The sequence below is a fragment of the Homo sapiens genome, chromosome 5 (assembly GCF_000001405.40).
Source record: "Homo sapiens chromosome 5, GRCh38.p14 Primary Assembly".
NCBI lineage: Eukaryota > Metazoa > Chordata > Mammalia > Primates > Hominidae > Homo > Homo sapiens.
The window spans coordinates 64,573,744-64,601,197 of record NC_000005.10 but is presented as its reverse complement, the minus strand read 5'-3'; the positions used below and the strand labels follow the sequence as shown (position 1 = coordinate 64,601,197).

The window sequence follows — 27,454 nt, the reverse complement described above, 5'->3', positions numbered from 1 at the left end:
GAATAAAAAGAGAAAGGAAATAAGAAGGCAGAAAGAAAACAGATGGCTTTCTATAATGGTTTTCATCCCGTTAGAATCATGTTTTGACAATAAGGTCCTACAGAAAAGAACTGGAATACTTTTTTCCACATTTTACCCTGTACCATTTCCTGCACATATTAGACCTGTATAATAAATAAACCACCTGAAAAGAATTCCGGAAAGGAATTGGGGAAGCCTCTATGGTCTATCTCAGTCTATGTAACAGGAAGAATCTGTATGATTTGTTCATTAAAATGGTGCCATATGCATCTGTCAAAATGTTCCCAGGGAGACTCTTCAGGTTTCCTCTGGATCCTCCAGTTCAGACACAGTCCCCTTCCCCACTGGTCAGCTCAGCAGGCTGTGAGGTCATGTTAAACACATAGAGAACAGAGATGTATTGTCACATGCTAAGGGTTCCCATTTCTCCCCTCAGTGAAGAAACTCAAATTCCTCACAATCCTTTACATTAGTTATTTTTGATTATTAAAATCCTACTGCACCACTTCCTTCTGAATAAGTCCTTATGTCTCCTTTCTAGCTTTTTCCTTTTTGTTCCCCAGATAGATCCAAGGTTCAAGTCCTGAGTATAATTTATTTTGATGACTATTCCCTTTTCACTCATGTTTTCACTCACAGTATCAACCTTTGATTATTATTATTACATTTAAAAATGTAATTAAAATTCTAATTATTTTTTTCTGTGTATAAAGATGATACAAAGTCACATAAAATATTTATATCATATTCTTTATGATTATAAATGACCAAATAAAACAAAATTTCTGTTTTTCTATTAACACACAGTCAAAAACTGCTGGATGAATGATCACTAAATGGGGAGGGAATGTTTAGGATGATGTGGCTTAAAATATAGGTGACGTGGCACCCATGAAATTCAGACTGGGGGACCCTGGGCAGCCATCCTCTAGGAAAGCTGAATGTGAGGGAGGGCGAGAGGCCAGCGTGCTACTGATGAAGGAGGCTTGCCAAACCTATTAAGACACTGAGGACAGCTTCAAACATGAGCTGTGGATCTAAAGTCCTGGGGCCAATGCTTTGAATTGCAGGCTCAAGACCAGCCTGACATATACACTACACGTGGTCTGTTGCAGAGTGAGTGGTAGCAGGGATTCCTCTATTTGATGGTGATTTGAGCAAAGCTGGGTTGGCCAACTTGTAAATAATAATAATAACAGTGACAACAATAATAGTAACAGTGTCAAGTGTTTGCTCTCTAAGTTTGGTAGTAGGTGTATGACACATTGCTTCATTTAATCCCCACAACAGACTTCTAAAGTAGGTGATACTATTATCCCCTTTGCAGGGATGAGGAAATACATTTGCAGAAGTTAAACAACTTGTTCCAGGGTGCAAAGCTGGTAGGTGGCAGAGCCTGCATTTGAACCCAAGGCTATCCTTAATTCAAAGCCCTTGTTCTAAACACTGTGCTTATTTCTGGCAACAATCTTCCATGTGGTGGTCAGAGCAGTCTCTCATCACTAAAGCATGTTTTCTACTTTCTCAAAACACTACGCCTGTGGCTCAAGCCAGTTGGCCTTTGTGACCAGGCCCCTTCAGGGGATGTTCTGAGCTATCTGATGTGCTGTGGCCCCTGCTTCTTATTTTCTGACCTCCACCCCTGTGTAGCTCAGGCCACACTACTCCTCAGCCTCTTCATCTGGTGTTCTCACTTCCACCCCTCCACCTTCTGCTGAGCTGCTCCTGGAGCCAAGAGGAGCCTCCAGCTCCACTGCCAAATCCTCCTCCTCCTCCTCCTCACTTCAAGGCAAGTGGCACCCTGTCTTCCCTCCCATCAGGCTTTGCTCACTGAAAACAAGAAGAGTTTCTTTCTTGCCTCCTAGAAGCCTTTCTCCACCTCTATGTACCATCCTCTGAAGTTGGTACTTCACCTGTGGCTGCTCCAACCATGTATACTTAATGTAAGCACTTATTATTGGTCCTTTGTACATGTCGTCAGTCTCTGGGGCTGCAAAGGTAGGTGCAGATTTAACAAACATCGATTGTGACAGGTGTTATTCTACTATGTCCCAGGCTCCAGATACTGAGGATACAATAGTTTAAAAGGCATGCAGAGGACTTTCCCTCATTCTAGTGAACATCTCCCTCTCATTTGTGCATTAGGGCATATACTCCCATAGGATAGACCTGGAGACACACTGCCTGATTTCACATCCCAGTTTTTCTACTTACAGTCTGTGTGACCTTGGCCAATTTAGCTAACCTTTCTGTGCGCCAGTTTCTAGTAAATTGGGAAACACTAATAGCATTTCCCTCAAAGTTGTTTAGAATTAAATAAGTTAATACAGTTAATACATGCAAAGTATTTTGAATAGTGGCATGCTGTAAGTTCTCAATATATGTTAATTTTTTGGATTACTTTTTAAAGATAATTACACAAGTGGATGGCAGAGATCTTCCTTTGTAGGTGTTCTTAAGTCTCTTGCTGTGCCTGGCATGGTGCTTTCCACAGTGAGTAATAGGGCCAGTGGAGAAGGAGTTCGTTTTAAGGTCATAATGTACCTTGGGCCCCCTCAGAGCATTCTGTGTTCACCAGAGAGTTTCTAGTCTCATTTTGATATCTTCTTGAGGAAAGACTAATGAATGCTCAATGCCTTCTACTGTTTGTGTGAGACACATGCTTTAATTTCCAAGAAACAATTCCCAAGGTTATCCCATTAAAAACATCCTCTGCCTCAAAGAGAAGTGACAAGACTCACCTTGATTTTTCAATGGTAAAGGCATAGTTTCCCTGAGTTTGCTTAAAAGGTTTTTCATTTCTCTCATGTCTCTGTAAAATTGATAAAAAGACAGAATAATCAGCTGTAAATTTTCAAAATGAAATCTCAAACAATCTGTTATATGAGACAACTGAAAGATGAGGGTCTGTGTCTAATTGCACTAGCTCTAGTTTCCAGTAGGCAAATATTGAATTTATTTTGCTTTTACAAGAAAAAAAATCTGAGATGGGTTGGCTCAGGAAAAAGTGAGAGCCATTCTGCCAAACATTTCTACAGGGCATTCTCCTGCAGGAGCCCTCATCTCTGCCTCCAGTCGAACCTGGCTGAGATCAGAGAAGAGCCATTGGTCACGAGGACAGTGCTTTAGATTTGCAAAGAGAGGCCAAGGAAGTACAACTGGAGCAACAGGGCTACCCAGGGCAAACTTGAGGCTGGGTGATGGTGCTATCAAGGCTTTATGGTCAGAGGACTATAGTGGCTATGTACATTCACTTGCTGTTATTTGCTCGTTTGTTAAAATTTGTGTAAATTTAAGGAGTACAAGTGTAGTTTTGTTACTTTGACATATTGCATAGTGGTGAAGTCTGTGCTTTTAGGGCATCCATCACCCCAATAATGTACGTTTTACCCACTGAGTATTTTCTCACCCCCCACACCTTCCCACCCTTCTGAGTCTCTGATGTCTATCATTCCACACCCCATGTCCATGTGTACCCACCATTTAGCTCCCACTTACAAGTGAGAACATGTGCTATTTTGTTTTCTGAGTTGTTTCATTGAAGACAATGGCCTCCAATTCCATCTTCTGCTTGGTTTTAATAGTCTCTTGTTACTACGATTGGAATTCAGCATAACTCAGGTATTAAGCGTTCACCAGGACCAACACTTATTACATTGACTTGGAATAATGAAAGAGTAACAAATTCTAAAACTTCCAGAAAAGAGCTCCTTACAATGGATGAAACAGAAAGGGGCGCAGTATGGGAACAAGAGGGAAAACAACCCCACCTGGGTACAGCTGGGCCTTCCTTTAGCATGGACCGTCCTCCCACACTTCCTGACTTCAGCACACAGCATGCAATGCCACTGCATACATCCAATATCTTCCCTCATCTCAGAGCATGCATGGTCATAAAACCCCAGAATTGTAAAGCAGGAAGCCATCTCAGGAGGCTTCTAGTCTAAGGTAGGGGAGAACTCATCTTTTGAAACCCTTGGGACAATTGTCCCTACACACGTCCAGATGGTTGTGCATTGGAGAAAGTGCTCTTGAGACCCCAGGACATAGGGGCAGATTTCATTTAAAATAGCCAGGAACATAATTTGGTACAAAAAGCAGATGCATCCTTTAATTAACTGAGGATAGGCAAGCATTGGCAGGCACCATGGGTTTAGGAAAGTTTTGTGGGGAAGATCATCTTAAAGTTGAAGAAATTCTATCCACTTATTTTTCTTCTGTTATTTGAGGAAAGACAGTCACCATTTAATTTTAGGTATGAAACCTCTCAGTCCATTTCACAAAACACCACAGTTCTGTTGAGCACGGTTTGAGGATCGTTTTCTTAGGGTAATTCTGGAGACCTCATGGGAGCTCCTTTTCAAGTATTGACTGATATGTGAAGAGGAACTCAAGTCTCAGTAATAATTGATTGGAAAAGGAAGGGAAAGCAGCCTTGAGGATCTGCGGAAATATACCTGTAAAAACTTTCCAAATCCACTCTCATGGGTGCGAGGTGTGAGGATGTATCTGTGGGCTGCATGCTGATCAAGTGAGAGAGGAGGGCAGGAGAAAGGAAGTGTGGCCCCACCTCCACAAGTGCAAGGCACAGTCTGTTTTCATGTAAGATCTCAAGGACAGATGGAATGGGTGAGAAAGGGCTAGGAATGCAACATGGGGGATTGAGGCACTGTCTCCTCTAATAAAGCACCAATTCTCAACCTTGGCTGCTGCACAGGAGAATCACCTTAAGCCCAGGTCTCACCCCAAGAGAGCCTGATTCAGTTGGCTTATAGTGGGGCCCAGCCATCAGTATTTTAAGAATTCCCTCCTGATGACTTAACTGTGCAGTCCAGTTTGAGACCCATGATCTCTCAAGGCAGACAGCCAGGGAGAACGGAGTTAGCCACATCCTGGACCAGGTCCACTGTGCCCACCTCCATCTCCTTTGACCAGAATCTGGGCTTTCAGGCTGAACTGAAACATTGCCAACGTTGTGGGCCTTAACTATCCTACTCTTACTGCCATCCCTTCTTATAAGCTTATAAGGCGTGAATATAGCTGCTGTCTAAGGTCTGCAAAGTAAAATGGTTTCACTGATGTTTATGCCCTGATATGGCATTTCAGCAGATATTTTTTTCCCTGGGAACAGAGCTAAGAATTTTCTACTTTATAAATTAAGATAAATCACTCCCTCATCATTTGTCTATAGTGCCATCAAACGGTGCCAAACAGCTTTATTGTTTGAATTGTTGCATTTCCAAGCTTATACAAAATCCAAGTTTTATTAATAGCACATAATTACCACATGCTCCAATTTTCTATAAACACAGAAATTCGGTAATTAGCTTTAGAATTATATCACAATCTGAAAGTAGAACCACAATGGCTATAAATGCCATTGTGTGTTACATTTCTAAAAATAAAAAAAAATAAAATGTTCATTATGTTGTCAGTGACTTAACCTCATACACACAGAACACTCAGTGGAATTGCCCAGTATTCATTCAGCTGCTTGGTGCCAGCTCTGGGGACATTAGTAGCAAAGGGCACAGATATCAGTGTAAAGGCAAATAAACAAGAGGCTTATCTTTCTGCCTCGCAGAATGTCATTTTTAGCATCTAGATGGGACATGGTATTTATTATAATATTATTATTATTACTCCCTTTTCCTAAATAAAATAAAATCACTGTAGAGTCTCTTCTTTTCAAGAAAGAAACTGCCTCTCTAGAAGTGAGCTACTGAAGTTAAGAAAATGCATTAACTTGCTTTGACCACTGAGGGGCCATCAGCCACCTTGTGGAGAGTAAGAGAAGGGGGCCCTGGGAGAAGCCCTTTGTGAACTGGACAGAATGCTCAGCCCCTAAATGGCAGCTAAGCAGGCTGTTCCATATACCTGAAACCCGAGACTTTACTGGAGGCATCTTTGTGTAATTTTGGATTTTCTCCCTTAAACAAATGGGAATTTTGGGTACCAGCCCAGTAGGTGAACTGTGACAGCATGTAGACTTTTTCCCCTCCAAGGCAGCACACTGTTCTCATTTTCCATGGAGATGCAATGTGTTGGAGTGGGAGAAGCAGAGGCCTGGGAGCCTGTGCCTACTGTGGGTGTTGCTAGTGTTCCTCTGCAGGATTTGGACTGCTTACCCTCTCTTGTCTCAGTTTTCTTGTCTGCAGATTAGGCAGTCTCCAGGGTCCCTGACAGCACTATGCTCCTCTGGCATACCAAAGAAAGCTCTGTTTCTGAATCTGAACTAGAAAACCTCGTCTCTCTGTGGCCCCTAAGAACATTAACGGGAGGAGGATTGGCAGTCTATTCAGGGTAACTTCCCACTTACCTTTCAGTGTTCTCAATGTCTGTGGAAACCTGCCAGGAATGTTGCTGACTATCTACGGGGGATGATGAGGAGTCTTCTAGGGCAGGTGTTTCAGCACTCTCCTCAATTTTGCAATCCAAACTCTTGGTTCCCCCGCCAGGTTCCTTTCCTAAGGGAGGGAGGGTGTTGGTAAAGAGAAGAGGAAAAAGAAATCATAAAGGCAGGTTCTATATGCAGGATGTCAGTGCTAAGGTTGGCTATGCTTTGAGTCAAATGTTCCATTAACCCTAATAGCTTTCTGAGTAATAAAATAATTAGGTATATACATGTATGAGTATGTGTGTTTGTGTGTATAGCATGTTTTCACAACATTCCGGGAAAGACAGTTTGAGGTCAATGCAACCTAAAGATCAAGATAATATTAAAGCCCCTGTCTTTGATAGAGTATTGGTGTTTTATAACCCATTCTTAGTGAATTAGATTAAGTTAGCTCAGGAGGGGGGATTTAGCTTGTGAAACCTACTGGCTTTTGGTGCTTAGATGCAGGAGCAGGTAAAAGGGCCAGGAGCAGGTGACACCCAGCAGAAAGAATGAGAGCTCCTGCTGTTTTCTCTGATTCTAGACACTGGCCCTCTCAGCATGCAGCAGGGATCATGCAGGTGTCTTCCAATTCCTTGGCTCTCCAACCTCCTTCAACACATCCTTCTATGAGGAGAAAGCCTGACCTTGATCCAGCCTTACACCGCTGAGACCATAAAACACCGTCAACTCAAATGTGAATGCCATGTAGTAGGTAGCCGTCCACAGCAATGCACTACCTACCCACTAAGACTTGTATTTACCATGATTGATCTCAACTGAATAAATCAGTACTTTCTGGAAACAAATCTCCAAACTGGTTCAGCCATAAATTTATATGAAATTAAGTGGGAGGTTATGTCGTATGGCCTAGGCACAATCTCTTAATGTCTTTTATTCTTTCTTGAAAATCTGTGCATCCATAGGGGGGTATCCTAGTATCATGGAAATGGTCAAGTAGGCCCGAGAACTGGGTTTTAAACCTGGCTTAGTCATTTGTTCATTCATTCACTCACTCATTCATTCACTCATTTACAAATATATCTTGAGTGTCAGCTACCAGCACTGGGATTCATGCTAGAGATATGGAGGTGAAAGAAAGTCTCTGTCTCATGGAGCTTACAGTGCTGGAGTTAAACAATAAAAACATTATACAAATAATTACAAAGCTGTTGTATAACATTATGTAGTCTGGAAAAAAGGGTAGCTATTATATATAGTGTTTTTGCCTCCTTTATCCAGTTTTATTTTTGTCATGCAGATATAACTCCAGACTAGTTGTTAAGTAATTGTTACAGCCCATATCACTGAATATTCATGAGGTAGTGGCTATATCACCTAACCTTTTAGCTCAGTTTCCCTAATCCTGCTGTGATTGTTTTGCATTAACAAGAAAACTAATAAAAAATAAAACCTACAAACTTGTGAAGAGGATGGCTGCTCATGGTAAAATCTAACAGGAAGTTTTTTCCTTGGATTCCTGCTGGAGGGAAGTAGCAAAAATCTCATCCCTGAAGTTTCTAACCCATGTGGTAACAACAGAAGGAGAAAGAGCAAAGCAATTTAATTGGTTGTATGCCTTTCACCAACCTATAGTGGAACCTATAGTGGAACTCGGAATATTCAGCCAGAGCACATGCACACATTGACTCATGAGAAACTTTGATCCTTTCCTGTGTACTTTATGTGCATTGATCCTGGGTGATGGGACTTGCCTGAGGAATTGTTTTTCCAATTTTATGGTATGCTCTTGGGGGGAAATTAATTAAGCACATAATTTAGCACATTACCATTTCACAGTTGGAGGGCATTGACCTCTTAAAAGCATTTGCATTTTGCCTCTTGGCAGAGTGTGGCAAGTGCAGTCAGTCTACCAGTCATGTATCTCTAGGCAGGGTCAGCCTTAGGATGTGAGTCTGAGCAGGGGTAGCTGAGATGAGGGGAAGCAGCAAAATGAGGACTCTCCCAAAACAGTCCTCTGCTTTTCAAAACCTGAAGGCCTCTGTTACACTCCTGTGGGTTCGAAATGCCTTGGTGAATGGAGTATGGTTTGGGCATCACAGAGGAGGAGGGGAAGAAGATTCACCAGAATTCTCTGGTTTATGGGCTTTGTCTAGCTTTGGGGCCATATTATTCCTTGTCCTGAGGTCCAGACTATAGAGCCTGAAGCTTTTATTCCAATGGGGACAAGGGAGGACACCAGGAAATGTGATGTTCCTTGTTGGAGTCCTCTCTCCACCTCCTCCATATCACACCTTTTACATGCAAAGCCATAAATGGGATCTAGTTGACAACACTTTTGATTATACTTAATACCTGTGATTATTCTGCTGCTTACAAGACAAATGCCCTTCCATAACTTTTTCAAAGTAAAACATCATTTTAAAGATTTCAAAGATCCTGAAACAGCCCTATGGGCTTGTAAAGGCAGGTAATAACCTACTTTTCCTATTTTTGGTGACTTTTAGATCTAATTCTGCTAATGTAGCTGAACCAGAATGGAAACCGTGAATGTTGGCCCTCAGTTTAGGGCTTTCTGTCAGCTCACAAAATCCCTGCAGAAGTTTGATATGGTATCTTCTTTAGCTAACATGTCTTAAAAGACAGAAAAGATCAATATGAATTTAAGGGGTTTTCAATTCCAGAATGTATGTGGTGTCAAGTTTACTCTGCAAGTGGATTATAATTGCTCTCATTTACCGATAGTACCGACTTTATGTTAGGATTCTTCTCCACCACATTACATGTTTATGGCCTTCATAGAAAGGTCCACTATCAGAAATGATCTTGCTTATGTATTTGCTTACTAGTTTATTGTTTGCTGTTCCCAGCCCCACACTCATCTCTCATCTCCAAACTTCATAGGTAATCTTTGTAAGGCCAATAATTTTATCTGTTTTCTTCAATTCTATAAGTCTACTACCAAAGACCAAGGCTTACACACAGTAGTATCTCAATAGATATACAGCATTAAAAAATGTAATTATACTATATATGTTGTTATACAACTTACTTTGCTACTGTAGTCCAGCTTAGAGATATTTTCCTGTTAGTGCATTTTAATTGATGGAATGCTTTCTAATGGATGGGCAGTATTCCATAATAAAGAATTTAGGTTTTAATTGTTCTCTTTTTCCACAATATGCCAATATTTATGTAAAACAGATCCTTTGAGGCAGAATACTGAGATAAAGTATATGTATGCACATTTTAAATTTTAATATATATTGCCAAATTGGCCTCTGAAAAGGCTATGCTAATTTACACTTTACGTCCACCAGTGGTAAACCAGAGGGCCCATTTCCCCACCCCTTTCCCAGCACTTCATATTATCAACATTAATTTTTGCTAATCTAATGGGGAGAAATAGAATCTCATTGCACTTTTATTTTTATTTTTCTTTTCCTTTATTACTACCGAGGTTAAACTTCTTTTCTTTTTTTGTTTTTTACTTTCTTTTTAAAAACACTTTTAAGTTCAGGGGTATAGGTGCAGGTTTGTTACATAGGTAAACATTTATTTTCCTATGTTTAATTGACCACTTGTGTTTCTTCTTTACATTTTCTATTTGTGTAATTTGCCCATTTAAACAATGGGTTGGGTTTCTTATTGATTTGTAGGGGTTCTCTCCATATAATGGATACTGATCATTTGCTGTATATACTGCTTATATCTCTTACTCTATTATGTCTTTTAATTTTGTTTGTAATGTATTTTGTCAAAAGTTAAATTTGTATAGTCAAAGCTGTTCATCTTTTATGTCTTTTAGTACTGTGCCTTGCCTATATTTTCTTCTAATACTTGCACAGTTTTGAAATGTTCAGTTCTATAATTCATCTGTAATTTACTTTTGTATGTGGTATGGTATAATAATCTAAATTTTTAGCTCAAATGAAGAGCCAATTGCCCCAACAGCATTTAATGACTTTTCTGTTGACTTTGCTCTTTCTAATATATTAAGTTCCTACATAAATGTGGGTTTATTTCTGGATATACTGTTTTATTTTATATTTATTTGTTTATCCTTGTGGCAATTCCATGATATTTTAATTATTATGTTTTTAGTATTCAGTACAGAAAGTTCTCCTTCACTGTACTTTTTCCACTGACATTTTTGAATTTTGAAATTTTGAATCCACTGCAAAGGAAACTATAAATTACTATCATGTAAGACTTTGACTTTTATTAAAGCATGAATCATTGATTATTTTTTAAGTATTGTCTGGGTTTAATGGTTTATTTAAAATGTTTTCTCTTCTTACATTAATTTTGATAATTCATTCGTCCTAGAAAACAATCCACAGAATACATTTTTAATAGCATAAAGTTGAATGCAGTTTTCTCTTGGAACTGTTTCATACCCTAATGCTGTTTATTTATGGCTCCTGATTTCTTTGTATACCACTTTTTCTTGGATTTCAAACATATCTTCTTCTTTTTTGAATTCAGTTTTCATTTTTGGGAGCATATCCTTGACTAATTATTTCAGAGGAGATCTGTGGAATGCAAAATTCGTTAGTTTTTATATGACCGAAAATAGATTTTCTTCTCTCTCTCTCTCTCTCCCTCTTGGTGCTCACACTTAGATTCTAACTGGCTGGATATATAAATTCATGTTCAAACTAAGTTTTTCTAATAACTGGTATGACACTGTTCTCTTCTCTTTTATCTATACCTAGGGATGCACCAATTTTTTTTAACTTTGATTAAATATGATTCAATACAATTTGATTCTATACTATTATTTAATATATAGTCTATATTTAAATTTCCCCAATGGTTTCAATAAAATACTTTATCATTTCTTTTTAAATTGAGGGATCCATTTAAGGACTATGCAGTGCATTTACTTGTTGTGTCTTTTTTTTTTTTTTTTGAGTCAGGGTCTCGCTCTGTTGCCCAGGCTAGAGTGCAGTGATGATAATAGCTCACTGCAGCCTTGAACTCCTGGGCTTATGTGATCCTCTCTCCTTAGCCTCCCAATAGCTGGGACTATAGGAATACAAGACCATGCCTGGCTAATTTGTTTTTATTTTTTGTAGAAATGGGGTCTTACTGTGTTGCTCAAACTGATCCTGGCCTCAGGCAGTTCTCCCACCTCAGCCTCCCAAAGTGCTGGAATTACAGGCATGAGCCACTGTGCATGGCCTGTCATGTTACTTTATATTCTTTTAATCTAGAACAGCATCCTTGCCTTTTTCATTTTCAATGTCATGAATATTTTTGAATGAAGAGTTCAGGTTAGTTGTTTTATATAATGACCTTCCATTTGGATTTGTCTGATGGGTCCCACATGCCTAGATTCAGAATAAACATTTTTTTGGCAAGAATATTATAGGGGTGATACTGTGTCCTTAGTGCATCACACCAGAAAGAATGTGAGTCAGTTTGTCTTATTCATGATGCTAAGTATTATCAATCATTTGTTTAATGTGGTTTCTGCCAGCTTGTACCATTGTAGACGCATCCTTTTCCCCTCTGTAACTTTTTTTTTTGTTTTTTTTTGAGACAGAGTCTGTCTCTGTTGCCCAGTCTGGAGTGCAATGTTGTGATCTCAGCTCACTGCAACCTCTGCGTCCCAGGTTCAAGCAATTCTTGTGTCTCACCTACCCGAGTAGCTGGGATTACAGGTGTGTACCACCATGCCCGGAATTTTTTTTGTATTTTTAGTAGAAACATGATTTGGCCAGGTTGGCCATGCTGGTCTGAACTCCTGGCCCTAAGTGATCCACCCACCTTGGCCTCCCAAAGTGCTGGGATTACATGCATGAGCCACCGTACCTACCCATCCCTCAGTAACTATTAAGTAATCTACAAAGCGATTCATTGAGATACTCTAATATTTTAACTTTAGATATTTATTTTTTTTTTAGGGTTGGGGAATTGTTTTCTATTTTTCTTGATTATCAATTTCTCTCAATTCTCTCTGTTCTTTCCGAATTGCTATTTTATATTGGAGTCTCTGGCTCAGTCTTTCACATTTTTTTAAGTACTCTCCATACTCAAATGATTTTTTGGGCTGAATTCTGGGAGAATACCTTGACTTCATCTTTCAGTCCACCATTTTGGGCTCTCAGTATTTCCATTATGATAATGTTAAGAACTGTGAAAAGTTTGAGATTTTACCTTACTTGCAAATTAGCCTATTGTAGTTTCATGGATACTGGAAGAAGACATGAGATTTCTCGGTCAGATACAAAGGTAGTTTATTACTCACAGAATAGGAGTAGCAAGAGGATTAGCATTTGTGCTGGTTTTTTTGAGTCCTAATTCCCACAGTGAGGAGCAAAAGGGCCAAACACTACCTGTACACACAGTGGGCTGCGTGACAGGAGGGGAGAACCCTGAGCTTAGGGATTCTGTGTCTTTTATAAGCATGTCTGCCCTTTGCTGAAGAGGGAAACATTTTCATTATACTGAATAGGAAGTATGCCTTGCTCTGGAAGAAACACTGTCTCTGTTTTCCAAGGCATTTCCTAAATAAACATCCTTGAGAAGATAGGGTAAAACAAAGGGCAGTCAGTGCCCCATTTTGCAAGATGTGCCGAATGTGAGAGACCAATGGAGAATTGTCTCCCAACACTAATTAACCCATCTATTTTTATTTGATTGATAACATTTTTACTTCCAACAAATCTGGCTGCTTCCTTTATGTTGCAGACAAAAATTGTTTTATGAATATGCAGACTCATAAATCTCTTTGCATATATTGATCACATATATTTTAAATTTTTTATCACTTTTAACATTTGTTCTTCAAGTATTAATCATTTGTTATATTTGGTATCTCCTTTTTATAGTGTTTGTTTTCCTTAAAAATCTTGTCATTCCTGGATGTCTGTTCAAATTTGTTTTTCAGGACCTCTGTCTGTCTATTAATAACAGTGTCCTCCTTCTGATGATGATGGAGAAGGGGGTGTGTCAAAAAGGGCTGGATAATATGTGTCAAAAGCATTTCTTCTAGGTGTGAGAGTTTGCCATCTCCAATGGGTACCTGGGTACCCTGCCTGTTTTTGGCCCTGTGCCTGCTCTAAGTTTCCTGTTTACAACCCCTATTCCAGAGAGATATACTGAGCAATTTAGTCTGGAAAAAGCACTGTAGTCATGTGCTCACTTTCTTTTTCTTCTGCAGCTGTCCTTATGGAGGCTCAGATTTATTTTATACTCTTTCCTGCTTTGCTGCTCAGTCCTGACACTTAGCACAAAGTGTCCTCCTGGGGCAAGCACTGATAGTCTCTGCTGCTCAGTGTGGGGTAGCCCAGCTTTTCCTTAATGCAATTTTGAGCATTAATTTTCCTGACAGCAGTTCCAGCAATCTTTCCCATGATTTATATTTGTGGACTCTGAGTTTGAAGAATCTCTGGAATTGACCTCATTTTCACAGAAAATTTCTCCTGCTTGAATTTCTTCTTGAGTTTCTTATCTGCTAGGGTTTCCTCTGTTTTATTTTCACCAGTCTAATCCCAATTGCTTTTTAGCTTTGACAGATTTCTCAAAATTTCTAGTTTGTTGAAGTCATCCTTCCTTGTTTTTCAAGGTTGTGGGAGACTGTTTTGTGTTTGTCATTCTCTATTTTCTTTTCCTCTTACTATTAGAAATGGCTGTGTGACAGAGCTATGGCCAATGGACTCTGATCAGGAGTGATGTACACCTCTTCCAGACTGGCCCCTAAAAGTCCTCCTATACGATCGCTCAGGTTTTCCTTGTTTTCCCCCTGACCATTTGATGAATGCAGAGAATGGAAAGAGCAACACTGCCCACTCTACCCAGCTCTGGCATTGGACTATGCCATCAGTGAATAATGAACTTTTATTGTTCTAATCCACTGAGATTTGGTATTGTCTCATACAGTAGTTACCCTACCCTGACAAATACATGAACTAGTATGGATTTATTCCTTTCATTACATGTTTTTCCATTATTTCAGTGGATTTGCACCAGGAAGGAAAATATATGGGTAAGTTCAGTCCAACATCTCTGGATAAACTTTTCCTCTAATTATACTCTCTTTGTTTTGACAATAGATACAGAACTAAAGCAATTTATTCACTTATTCAATAACCATTAATTGAAACTTTACTCTGCCTGAGGCACTCTGCTAGGTGCTAGGAATACAACGGTGAACATACTCATGGTGATCAAAGTCTAGAGAGGACAATAGGTAAGAAACCAGGCAACCACCTCTCAATGTAACATATGCCATTATTAGTGTCATGGAAATGCTTGAGGGACACATTGAGTGGGCATTGGCCCAGGCTTGGAGGGTCAGGAAAATCTGAAGAAAGTTATGACCTTCATAAGTTATCTAAGTTATGACCCAAAGAAAGTATAGGGATGAGCCAAGTGAAAGGGACAGGGGTAGGGTGAGGTAGGATGGGTCATATGTCCAAGGCAGAGGAAAAAACTGGAAGGAACTTGCAAGTTGATGTTCCTCAAAGTAGTTCAAGATGATTCAAGTGGGGTAGGGCAGGGTATAAGGGCAGGCGAGGTGGGGATTACTGGTGAGATATGAGACTGGAGAGGTTTTCAGGGTCAGTTCATAGATATTCTTCTGAGCCACGTTAAGGAGTCAGCAGAGCCATCCAAACCTGGAAAGTGGCCAATTTGAGTTCTTCATCCCCAGCATCACCCCCTTTGGCAGGTTATCCTCAGAATTCAGTACTTGTTTTCACATATCAGGTGGGCTCCTTGCCTTCTTCTTGGAAAAGAGGCCAACATGTGCTTCCAAATGGTGACTTCATGTCAATGTTTTGCTTTGCCCAAGGGAGTTGTTGTACATTTAAAATCATTTCTTATTATGAAATGAAAAACTCTGTCCCCTGAAAAATCCATTTCAGGCCTCGGTGAACAAATATTTGCTCAGGAGGGGATGGGGTAGGGGAGGAAGAGAACCCTTAGAGCACCTTAAAATCATACCATGCTGGTTGCATCACTGTTTAGAACTAGGACATCAAAAACTTGGCCACTTTCCTTAAAGTCTTGCAAAGCTTTTAGCCTTCAGCTCCTTGGGGATTTCTATGTATTTTTAGCTTGTTTATGGATAATGTAATAGGCATGTTTGAGGAAAATTTAAGGGAAGCCACCCATGAAGCACATAACAAATTGAAAGGTTGGTTATTCTTATATTCGTGAGAAATTGCCGGTCATTCACGAGAAACAAAAACACATCTGATTGTGGGGCAGTCTCAGGGGTGCAATAGAGCACTCGCAGCTTTAGGAGTCCTTGGCACAGGCACCAGAGGAGTGGGCTGGGAGTCCTTTATCACACCCACTCTAGAGACCCCTTTCCTTCTCATCTCTTATTTCTCCCATCCTTTCTCCTCCACTCGTGTTTTCCCCACTCCTCTTTTCTTTGCCCCTTCCATTCCTTCTTGCTTTCCTGCCTGTCTTCAGCTTGCCAGTGACAATGGAAGGCACTGCCATAGATAATATCTTTTTGGATGTCCTTAGTTTGGTCTCTGTTGTCCAGTAAAGTGAATTTATCCATTTGAGTAAATTTCTCCAGGAATCAAAACAGAATAAACCAATCTTCTCTGGGATAATACTGTATCAGTGCCCTATCACTTCCTTGGTGGCAGGAGTAAATTTCCTACATCCTTTGTGCTCCTGACACATTACCTGCTATGACACTATGCACTGAACAGGCTTGCAGGGCAGTTTTCATACTGACTGAATGCGAACAACAAAATGAACATGGCTTACATTAGATTCACGGATGCTTATGAATCCAAACAGTTATACTAATTCTCATGCATTTTCATAACTGCTAGGTGCTTTTTAACTCCGTGCACTGTGAAAAGGACTGGGGAAGTATAGGCTGTTTTTTAAAGTAATCCACTTTTACTCTCTTGTGTTTCTAAAAAGCATGTAACTTAAATAGAAATAAATTATATTAATTCAGTTAGTCATTTACCCATATTAAAAAGCAGTTTCAAAGGTTTTTCCACACTGTGGTAAGAAGATATTCTTAGGGCCATAAAACACATGGCAAAAAATAATAATTATGCCATACCCGGAGCTCCATTCTTCCCATGTACTGGGAGATAAACATTTTCCAGTTCAGAAGAGATACAAAACCATCCCCTTCTCCTACTGCCCTTTGGCCTCTTCTGTGCTCCTTGTGGCACTGCCACAGCCCCCAGAGTAGCAGCCTTCATGGTAGTGCCAAGTAGCTGTGTAAGAAGCACAGAGCCCCCTTGGAACACAGGAGAAGAGCAAACAATAGAAGATACGTTCAAAGGATATCCTTATGGGGCTCTGAGTGCTCCCTTTCCAGCCCCTAACATAGAGCAGCACAGTGTCTAAGATGTATTCACTCTACAGTTAATTAATTCAGACTTTTCCATACTGGGTGTCAGGGCTAACTCCTATGCCTTTTGGATCACGTGAATGTTTCATTTTATTTATTTACTTTTACTATATGTAATAGTTTCTTAGAATTAAACTTTTTCACCCATTTTACATATTTTGTAAATAAGATGATATATGGAGTTAAAATTCTCTCCACCCTTGAAAATACCTCTCCCAACTTAGTGTTATTTTGGTAAGAAACTAAATATACAATGGATTTTAGCTATTAAGCATGGTTTTGAAATATGCTCACTAATCATTAAATAAGATAGAATTCAGCTAACTGTGCTACTATCCTTTATTTCTCCATTTGATATGCCCTCCTGCCCTTCTCCAATGTAGCTTAGTAAGAATGGTCTAGTGCAGTGGAACAACCACAAACTTTGTAGTGAGATAAATGTGCTATGTGACCTTGGGCAACTTACCTCATTGAGCTTTGAGTTCCTCATGTGTAAAATGGGGAAAATATACTTGAGGATAAAATAAGATAATGTGTATAATGCACCTGGCAAGTAGAAGGTACACAGTAAGTGGAAGCTATTGTCATTGCTATTATCCTATTCTTCAGCCAACATCTACATTGACTAAAGGTGACAAATAGTGTCCTACTCACTGGTATATGAAGACATGGAGATAGAGTAGAAGAAGGCTTTAGATTATCCTTGGATTTCAGAAGTTAGTTATGTTTATATTCTTCAAACACTACATGCTTATTCTGGTCATTGGTAATACGAATGTTCATGAAATTGTTTCCTTCTTGTCGTTCAAGTCTCAGGTTAAATTTTATCTCCTTAGAGAACTTTGACCAGCCCTTCCAAAGTAGCCACCCAGTCACTTTCTATTACATCATCATCCATTCTATTTCAATTATTTTCATTGCACTTATTAGTATTTGGAACTTTTAGAAAAGTTGTTTATTTCTGTTCTTTCTTTTCCCCTCCTCTCTTTCTTCTCCCTCCCCCTACCTCTGCTCTGTCTGTCTCTCTTTCTCCTCTCTCCCTTTGCCTTAGAATATATATTTCACAAGAAACAGAAACCTGTTCAGTCTTTTTCATTTCTGGGGAGATGGAGTCTTGCTCTGTCGCCCAGGCTGGAGTGCAGTGGCGTCATCTCGGCTCACTGCAACCTCTGCCTCCTGGGCTCAAGCAATTCTCCTGCCTCAGTATCCTGAGTAGCTGGGATTACAGGCACCCACCACCACACCTGGCTAATTTTTGTATTTTTACTAGAGACAAGGGTTTCACCACGTCGGCCGGGCTGGTCTGGAACTCCTGACCTCAAGCGATCTGCCTGCCTCGGCCTCCCAAAGTACTGGGATTACAGGAGTGAGCCACTGCGCCTGGCCTACCTCTTCAGTCTTAATCACTGCAGTCTCTCACCACCCAGAACAGTGCCTTACATATGATAGATAACAAATATTTCTTCAAAGAATGAATGCATGTTTCCACTTAGGATTTGAATCATGTCTAAGATTTATTCTGCTTTATTTCTTCTAATCCATTGTTCTATTTTAGTATCAATTGCCTCATTCCATTAGGAAATAAGGCAGCTATATTCTATTTCTGTCTTTATTTTGCTGGCTTCTTTTATTGATGTGGATCACCTCCTTTATATTTCTTAATATGATGCTGAATACACTGGAGTTTTTACTGCTCATATTTTATTCTTTGTCTTGAGTTCATCCTGTATTTTGCTGGAAGATGGTTCATTAATTTCTCATTAGTGCATCTTGAGCTCTTAGCTCCCAGCAGATTCTGAATTAAGATTTTTCAACTTTTAACATTTCTCTATTCTTTCCCTTTTGTGATTACATCTCCTCTGCATATTTTATCTCTGTATTTACCATGGTAGCACATTTTAGGGGAAAGAACCCATCTTATCTTTGGGAGAGGAAGGGAGGATGGTATACCTTCAAAGGACCTGGGGACAATTTTGCTGTAAGCTATGGCAGAGAGGACAAGCAGAGTCAGAGGGGACCACTGACAGAGCAAGGTAAAATGAGAACAAAAATAGAAAGGGCAGGTTCACATGTGAAGGGGAGCTGGACTGGAGTGTTCTGTCATCTCTGCTCTTTTCAGAATGGGGCTGTTGCCACAACTGATTGAATTGGGAAAAGAAAGCAAGAGAGAGGAAAGCCATGGTCAAAATGGCAGGATCATTCAATTCCCTTGGAAACCTGGCTCCACTTTCTGCCAACGAAGTGAGTGAAACCTGCAATCTCTTTTCATCTGGTGGCAGAAAACAGGCATTAAGGGTCAATGTGATACATGGACTCAGTAATGGGAAAAGATTTCCTACCTAACTAACTGTGAAGAAGTGAGAACAACTATTTTTCACCATAAACATAGAAATTAGACTTTGTCAAGTAATGCTTCAATCTATAACTTAAAGTGTTAGAATATGAAACTACAAGATGACTAAAATTATTCCCATCTGTCACCTTCTTAAAACAAACAAAGTTTTTCAGAGCCACTCTCTATCTGATATAACTCAGTAGCCCTTATTATATGTAGATTTTACCTCACGTTACTGTACTTTACTTTCATGTTGTTGGCCATAAAAAAAGAAAAACACTTTAGTAATGTTTTTCTTCATTTCTTTGGCAATAGGATCATCTTGCAAAGTAAAAAAGATTTCCAAGTAGATTGTACCAATCAGACTTATGAGACAGCAAAAATTCAGAAGCATGGTGCATGAAATAAACATGAAAATCCATTGAAGATATTGTTAAGGACTAGAAAGACAGTTAGAAGTTGCTTAATTGGGAGAGAAGGAAAATCTTCATTACTAAATTCAAGTTCACTGCAGGAGATTTAAAGTTATTTGTAGCTTGTTTTTCCCAGAAAGAAACTATATTCTTAACCCCTGCAGTGGCCTTGTGTGCCCCTTCTCTCCAAAGAGTAAACTCATGTCCTGACTACTCAATACAAGAGTACAACTAAGTGAGGTACATAATTCTATCTGAACTTCTGGTGGCAGCCAGGGAGGTAGATAGACATAAAAACAAATTAAATGTATAGATAAATGAAACAGTTTGGCTTCAGTATCTCATCCTAATGAAAAATTGACTAGAGACTCTCATATTTAGTGACTCAGTTGCAATCCCTTTTATTTTTCCTTGATGGAAAAGCAAAGCTGAAGAAGAGGGGAATGGCAAACTTTTAGCACTCACACAGAGGGAAAAGAGTTTGGCTTGCATAATGGATTAAAATAGCAGTTTTTATTTTATGTATATTTTGAGATGGGGTCTTGCTGTGCCACCCAGGCTGGTGTGCAGTGGTGTGATCTTGGCTCGCTACAGTCTCTGCATCCCACCTCAAGCAATCCTCCCACCTCAGCCTCCCAAGTAGCTGGGACTACAGGTATGCACCACCACACCTGGCTAATTTTTGTATTTTTTGTAGAGACAGGGTCTCACCATGTTGCCCAGGCTGGTCTCAAATTCCTGGGCTCAAGTGATCCTCCTGCCTCAGCCTCTCAAAGTGCTAGGATTGCAGGTATGATCCACCACACCTGGCCTCCAGTTTTTATTATAGCATTAAAAGAAACAAACCAGATAGAGATTCTATGCAGAAAGAGATTTCAAGTGTTAGATTAGAATGTGAGCCAAAATTCCCCTAAAACTCTGGGGACTATTTTATTTCTCAAAGGAAGGCATTTAGTGAGTTCATCCAGACAGGCTCAATACTTAACCTGAGGCCACACCAGTGGTACCACTGTTTGGTTACGAGTACATTATCTTGTAAAAACTAGTCTGGCATCTTAAATCTCAGTAAACAGACTTCTTTCCATTGGGTAAATGGTCATTTTTGCTAAGATATGACATATAAAATTAAATAAATATATTTATATTTATATTTTATATACCTATATATTTATATGGATTTATATCAGTTCTGGGGGGAAGGAGACTAATTTCTTGATCCATGCTTTCTCCTGCTACCTCCACCACCTTGCCTGAAATTTGGAATTACCTACATTTCAATTCTTAATCCACTGCTCATTTTGAGCCTATACATACTTTTCCTTAATCATGCATCTTGACTCAGGGCCTTAAGTCATATTAGCATAGCCTTGCTCCCCATTCCTTCCCCATTTCTTATTTTTATGAAGATGAAACATTTGTCTGCCTTTCTCTCCGATGGTAGTAAGTAGTAAGGTTTCTCACTTCTTATAGGCAGTAAGGCTTCCTGACTCCTCTCTGTCTACTTTTATGAGTAGGTGCTCCAAGCTTCAAGGGTTCTAAGACACATGTTATGTCTCTTAATTTGTCTAACTCTTCTGTTATAGTTTAATACTCTTGGGTTGTGGTCTATGGACCTATCTCTTCCTCAACTCATTTCTGGCTATTCATGGTCACTGGAACCAAGTATTCTTATTCTTTTAACCACAGCCTCCCAAAGAGTCATATACTTGTGTATTAACTAGAGGTTCCTGGGCAGACAGGTTGCTCTACGGTTTCCAATGTTATCAAAGAAAGAACAAAACCTAGTGGCACCAGCTGACATTTTCTATGCTGTCTTGATGGTGGGAATATGAATTAGCACACAATACAAACAAGCCAGGAGTCCAAAGTATTAATATAGTGTTAATCCCTTAGGTGTAATAAAGAAATTAATGGTGAGAATAAAGAAATAGAAAGGATGTATCATACAAATGTGTAACTAAAAAATTAAAAAATGATTTCTTTAATGTAATCACCCCTCCCCAAAAGCTAATATTTTATTTGTCATTCCACAAATTTTCAGGAAATTTGTCTAGTATATATTTTCATGCATATGTTTGCTAGTGCTTTATTTTCTCTGGTTTAATGATATTTTCTTTCATGCTTACTGCTAGTGGCTTATCTCCACCTTCAATATATTTCTTTTCTTTTCTTTCCTTTTTTTTTTTTTTTTTTTTTTTTTGAGATGGAGTCTTGCTCTGTTGCCCAGGCTGGAGTGCAGTGGTATGATCTCGGCTCACTGCAACCTCTGCCTCCTGGGTTCAAGTGATGCTACTGCTTCAGTCTCCTGAGTAGCTGGGATTACAGGCACATGCCACCACACCCAGCTAATTTTTGTATTTTTAGTAGAGATGGGGTTTCACCATGTTGGTCAGGCTGGTCTTGAACTCCTGACCTCGTGATCCGCCCACCTCAGCCTCCCATAGTGCTGGGATTACATACATGAGCCATCGTGCCCAGCCTTCAATATATTTCTCAAGCCTACATGTTACTATTTTCTTTACTCCTAACTTAATTGAGAATTTCTCACCAATAAAGCAGTCTCCTCCTCCTCATTGCCTTAACTCTACTGGTACCAAGAGAAAAGTAACAGTCTATAGGACAGCTAGTTCTTGGACTTGCATTCTGGAAACACAAGAGACTTGCCAGGAGTGTAGGGTACATGCATACTTCCAAAAAGAGTAAAGAATTATGGTTTGCTGGCTACAGATGGTGATCAGGGGTTATACATATATTCAGTTGAAGAAATATCTCAATGACTTGTTGTTTTATTTTTTTCCAGCAGTAAAAAAAGTAACTTTAGAGGCATTTCTGATTTGGTATGTCTAGGGTGAGGACTAAGAATTTGCAATTCTAACAAATGATTTGGACATCAATGCTGTTAGTTCAGGGACTGCACTTTGAGAACCACTGCCTATTTCAGTGGTCACATCCTCAGTTCATGGAGACAATGCACTGTATGAGCCATCACACAGATCACATTCATCACAGGCACCTACTCCTTTTGTATTTGCTTTTCATCAGCATGGGGGAGAAAGAACGCATAAAGCCACATTGAAAGTGTACACTTAGGGGAGTAGACAGTAGCAAAGCAGAATGGCATGGTAAGGGCTTGGAAGTTTTTCCTTTTATTTATACGGAGGGTGGGGTGTGATTTACATTTTTTTGGTCTCAAAGGGTAGAGGAGCAGTTCTTAATCCTCAATGTGTTTCAGAATCACCTGGAGTGCCCTCAGAGATTTGAATTCAGTAGGTCCTTGGATAGGATCCAGGCATCTGCATGTTTATCCAGCATCCTGGATAATTGTGAAGCAGGTTTTCTAAGGATTACACTTTAACTAATAATGATTTTAGAAGATAGAAATCCAAGTGGACACTTAATCCTACATAGGGGAGAAATCAAAGGTACTATCAGGTATTTTCTTTTTACGAGTTGTACACAGAAGTTTAGGCACTAGAGCAGGGGGCAGCAGTTTTTCTGATTATTTTTTAAAAATAGGCAGAGAAGGAAGCAGAGCAGAAACTGACAGTGAAGACAGGAGGCAGTGAAGACCAAATGAGCTGCTCAGTTAAGAGGTGACTGCATTTCATTTGCGTGAAATGACCAAATGCAACAAGAAAGCAGTCTGGATGGGGAAATCCCCTTTATTTATAAACAGATAGCTAGCAGAGAAGAGTTGTTGTTGCCTTTTCAAAAATCAGTTCTGAAAAGACAAAAAGTAAGAGTGGATGGCAGAAGGAGACCAGGTGGCAAATCGAGGAGCTACAGCAGGACTAGGAGTAGAGATCACCAGGTGTTAAGGACATGCCATCAGCAAGGAACATTCCAGTGGCAACAAGGCATGAAATCCTGCAGGTGCAGCCAATGCAGACCTGGGAATAAAACTACCTATCCCTTGTCTACTCGGTCACTAAAAAGAATGAAAATACTACTCTGTATGCGTGTTTATGTGTGAATGCATGTACATGTTTGTGTGTGTGTATGTGTCAGAGAGAGACAGAGAGAGAAAGACATCAGGCCAATGACATCAGTTTGGATGTCATAAGTATTCAATTTCCTGATCAGGCATTAGGAGTATCAAGGAGCTAATCTCTCTTATATTAATAACAGAAGTAAAGATGGAAACCCTTGCAAAATCAGCCTTCAGAAGGCAAAAGGAGAAAGATATAATATTCACATACTGGGAAAAATGTTCTCCTGTCTCTGGAGCAATGTAGTAGGATCTTGTTTTTAGTTCACCTGTGTGCATATGTATATGTGTACACAAGATTTTTTATTTTTTTTTCGAGATGGAGTCTCACTGTCACCCAGGCTGGAATGCAGTGGCCGGATCTTGGCTCACTGCAAGCTCCGCCTCCCAGGTTCATGCCATTCTCCTGCCTCAGCCTCCTGAATAGCTGGGATTACAGGCGCCCCCCACCAAGCCTGGCTAATTTTGTTTTTGTATTTTTAGTAGAGACTGGGTTTCACCGTGTTAGCCAGGATGGTCTCAATCTCCTGACCTCGTGATCTGCCCGCCTCAGCCTCCCAAAGCGCTGGGATTACAGGCGTGAGCCACCGTGCCTGGCCAAGATTTGGTTTTTACAAGTACTTCATCATGTCCTTTAGTTTCCTCCAAATTGCAATGCTTATTTGATTTTTAAATCTTTCCTTTAATTGCTTCCTCATATGAAATATCTTTCTTTTTCCTTCCGTAACTGAACCCTACCTTCAGAACCCTAAACTTTTCCCTGAGTATTTCTAAGTTCTCTGGCCTTTTCTATCTCTGAATTTAAATCATAGGCAAGGATTACCTTCTATGCACAGCCTATGCTCTACCATTCTTCTGAGCTCAAGCACAAAAACACTGTATTCTAGAAGTTCCCAATAAATTATTGTTCAATGAATTAATGAAGAAAATACAGGTTGAGTCTTCTGGTGATGGATACTTTTGGCTTCCTCTGTGACATCCTTCCCATTCCACACTCTCCCACCACAGAATATCCACTGGTTGGGTGGGGCTGACTCCACCCTCTAGCTCCAGGAATGGGCCTTGATTGCCCTTAACCAGTCAATGGAATTCCTCCCCGCTATCTACAGTGATTGGTTTAGGCATAAGCCTGGTCCAAACAGAATGAAGTTCACAACTTTTTCTCCGTAGCTGGGAGAAGTTCTCTCTCTTAGAGGACAGTGTGGTGTGCAGATGTGTTCACTGCAACTGCTGCAGTTTGCTAATGTGAGGGAAGCCAGCTCGAGGGTAAAGCCAACACCCAGAAGGCAGAGCATCATTCAGAATGGGAGCTGGAAGTCTAATGAAATCATGCTGAAGCCATGACTAACCTCTGGAGGGTACAATCCTTTGAGCCAATTTATTTCCTTTATGGTTTAAGCCAGAGAATGAGGTTATCTATTACTAACCTCCCTGTTATTTATGGAGTTCCCTCTATTTTTAAATCTTTGGGACACTATGTAATTTGTTTCTTGCAACTTAATTCATTTAGGAAAATAGCACTCTTGGATAGCATTTACTCCCCTAGTGAAATCACTACATACCTTGCTGTTTATGCTGAATCTAACAAAAGTCATATTCACAACAGCTAAAATAATAAATTTGAGAACTGTTGCTGCCCTAATTTCTGTTCAAAACAATCAGTGTTAGTACACACTTAATAGTACTGATATAGACTTCTTATTCATTTATATAGCAAGCATTTCCTGAACATTTAAATTCATCGTAATTGCATATAGATAGGCATATGATATGGTATATACGGACACTTTGCCAAAGATTAGCTTTTGTTCAACATTCCTCAGTGTTTCCGGCAATATTAAATGTAGATACCTTTTCGATGAAACTGAAGAGACCCCAGCAGACATATGGATTTTAGCATCTCTGTGGTATACATTTCTAAGCAGCACTGCAGCTGGATGTAAAGCCGACAGATTTCTGGATGGATCTCACCATCTTCCGGGCTGCAACAGAATGAAAGAGAAAAGCTGTGAACATTCTCAAGATTTCACTCATCAGCCATTTGTCTCAGCTCCGAGAGGGAAAAATGCTCAATAAAGATTCCTTAAAGCCTTGATCCTAAAATATAGGACTTCCTGCTTTCAAACCAATGACCAATGTGACAGTTCTTATGTAAGTCTCTTTCTGACTAACAGTTCTTAATTTTTTTCCCCTTCAGCAGCAGAGTTCTGCCGGGAGCTTAAAATCATAAATGCTTTACATAATTGAAAATATCAGACATCTTCAATTGAGCTGTTGGAACAAATTTCCAAAAACCATAAGAATCTCCTAGCCTGCAAGAAGAGATTAAAAACCCTTGTTTTTAGAGAAACTGACAAGAGCAATTCAATTACCAGTTGTAAGACAGCTCTTTAATATTAGGGCCCTAGTATAATGTGATTAGAGAGCAATTTACAAATTATTTTTATCAAGGTTTTTTGTCTCAGTCTAAAGATTCTTCCTTTATTGTTTGCTGTGGCTAATTTATGAAAGACCAAATGTTTTTAATGAAAAAATTAAAATTTCATGGAAAAAAGTAATAAAATTCTAATAATTATACTTAACAATCTAAAGCTAAATAAACACTGAACTTATGCTCTAAAATTTATTCTAAAGTCCTGTGTATTTCTCTATTAAATATGATAAAACATATATAAATGATAAAACATGGAGCAATCACTTTTGTTTTTGATTAAGGGGAAAAAAACTAGTTGATAAAATAATACTTTATTTTATATGCAACTAAAATAGCATGTGTTGAATAAAACAAATCAAATAAAAGGGATAAAGTTTAGAGATAGATTAGAAATAAAAGAAAGCCTAAAAGTGAACTCTATCAAATGTCTTAATGAGTTAACTTTACTTCCATCGCTATTAATTTAAAATGCAATGAAATCTGATTTTTAAATATAGCATTTGGATTTGGTTTCTTTGTAATGTGGGTCAGTGGCAATATATCAGGAGGTAATTATTAGATAAAAATAATGGCTTCAAGTTCTGGAATCACACTAAAGAGAATTTGTGTGTACACAGCACATTACAATGATAATTACTTTTCATTTTCAATACTTATTTAGTCGATGAGCAAGAGTTGATCTAACCATATGGCTTATATAACACAAGAAAATGCAAAATTCTTAGCCTCAGCATCAGTGATGCCTGCACATGTTCTTAACTGTGTCAGACAGAATAAAGTACCTCAAAAGAGCCTGCACACAAAATTTGGCTCTATCTGAAAATTGAAAGGTGTTATTTTCTCATTTGTGTCTCGTGGGTGCCACCTTAGGCCAACATAGGAAGCAAAAGTATCTCTGGGGAAAATATCGGGGTTTTTTTCAGAGCATCCTCCCATAGATGCCTTCCACTCTCAAGCTGTCCTCCGTTTCTCCCATCCCACCCCACTCAGACATACCCAGACATACACACACCCAGACACATACACCCAGACACACACACACACATACACACCCCTCTGATTATTTCATCTCGTCTTCAGCTTTCACAGTCTCTGACTGTGTCCTATTCCCTCATGGACCTGCTAGATTCTGAACAGATAATGGGCATTAATGGTTCATGTAATAAAAATTGATCCTTGTATATTATCTACTAATACATTTATTTTCAGAGCAAAATCTGAAGATAATGTCTTAATCTAAAAGGAGGGTAAAGGGAAAATATTTTAAGGCAGACAGGTCTTTTCTATGCTGGTTCATCATCCCAACATCAGCTGCCTATTTTCACCTACATACAACATTGGCCCTGGTGGCTCATAGGCAGATATTTTTTAAAATTTTATTTTATTTTTAATGGACACATAATAATTGTACATATTATGGTATATAGTGTGATGTTTTGATACATGTATATATTGTATAATGATTAAATCAGAGTAGTTGACAGATCTATTACCTCAAATATTTATCATTTATTTGTGGTGAGAACATTCAGAATACTCTGTTCTAGCTATTTTGAAATATAAAATACATTATGGTTA

The 27,454-nt window shown here is 39.2% G+C and overlaps 1 protein-coding gene across 6 annotated transcripts in view; it reads right to left on the bottom strand.

Annotated features, from left to right (window-relative positions):
• RGS7BP (regulator of G protein signaling 7 binding protein) overlaps positions 1–27,454 on the bottom strand; it is a 106,305-nt gene that overhangs the window by 11,122 nt on the left and 67,729 nt on the right. For 2 of the 6 annotated variants that reach the window (XR_948251.4, NM_001029875.3), the window contains exons 3-5: positions 25,294–25,424; positions 6,341–6,488; positions 2,763–2,833 (exon numbers count right to left, since the gene is read on the bottom strand). Coding sequence is in view for 4 of the 6 variants with exons in the window: in NM_001029875.3 (NP_001025046.1) it covers positions 2,763–2,833; positions 6,341–6,488; positions 25,294–25,424 (350 nt within the window). In the remaining 2 variants the exon portion in view is untranslated. Of the gene's footprint in view, positions 1–2,758; positions 2,834–6,340; positions 6,489–25,293; positions 25,517–27,454 lie in introns of those variants that run through there. The other 4 variants (NR_073511.2, NM_001271890.2, NM_001271891.2 and 1 more) reach the window with 3 other exon arrangements.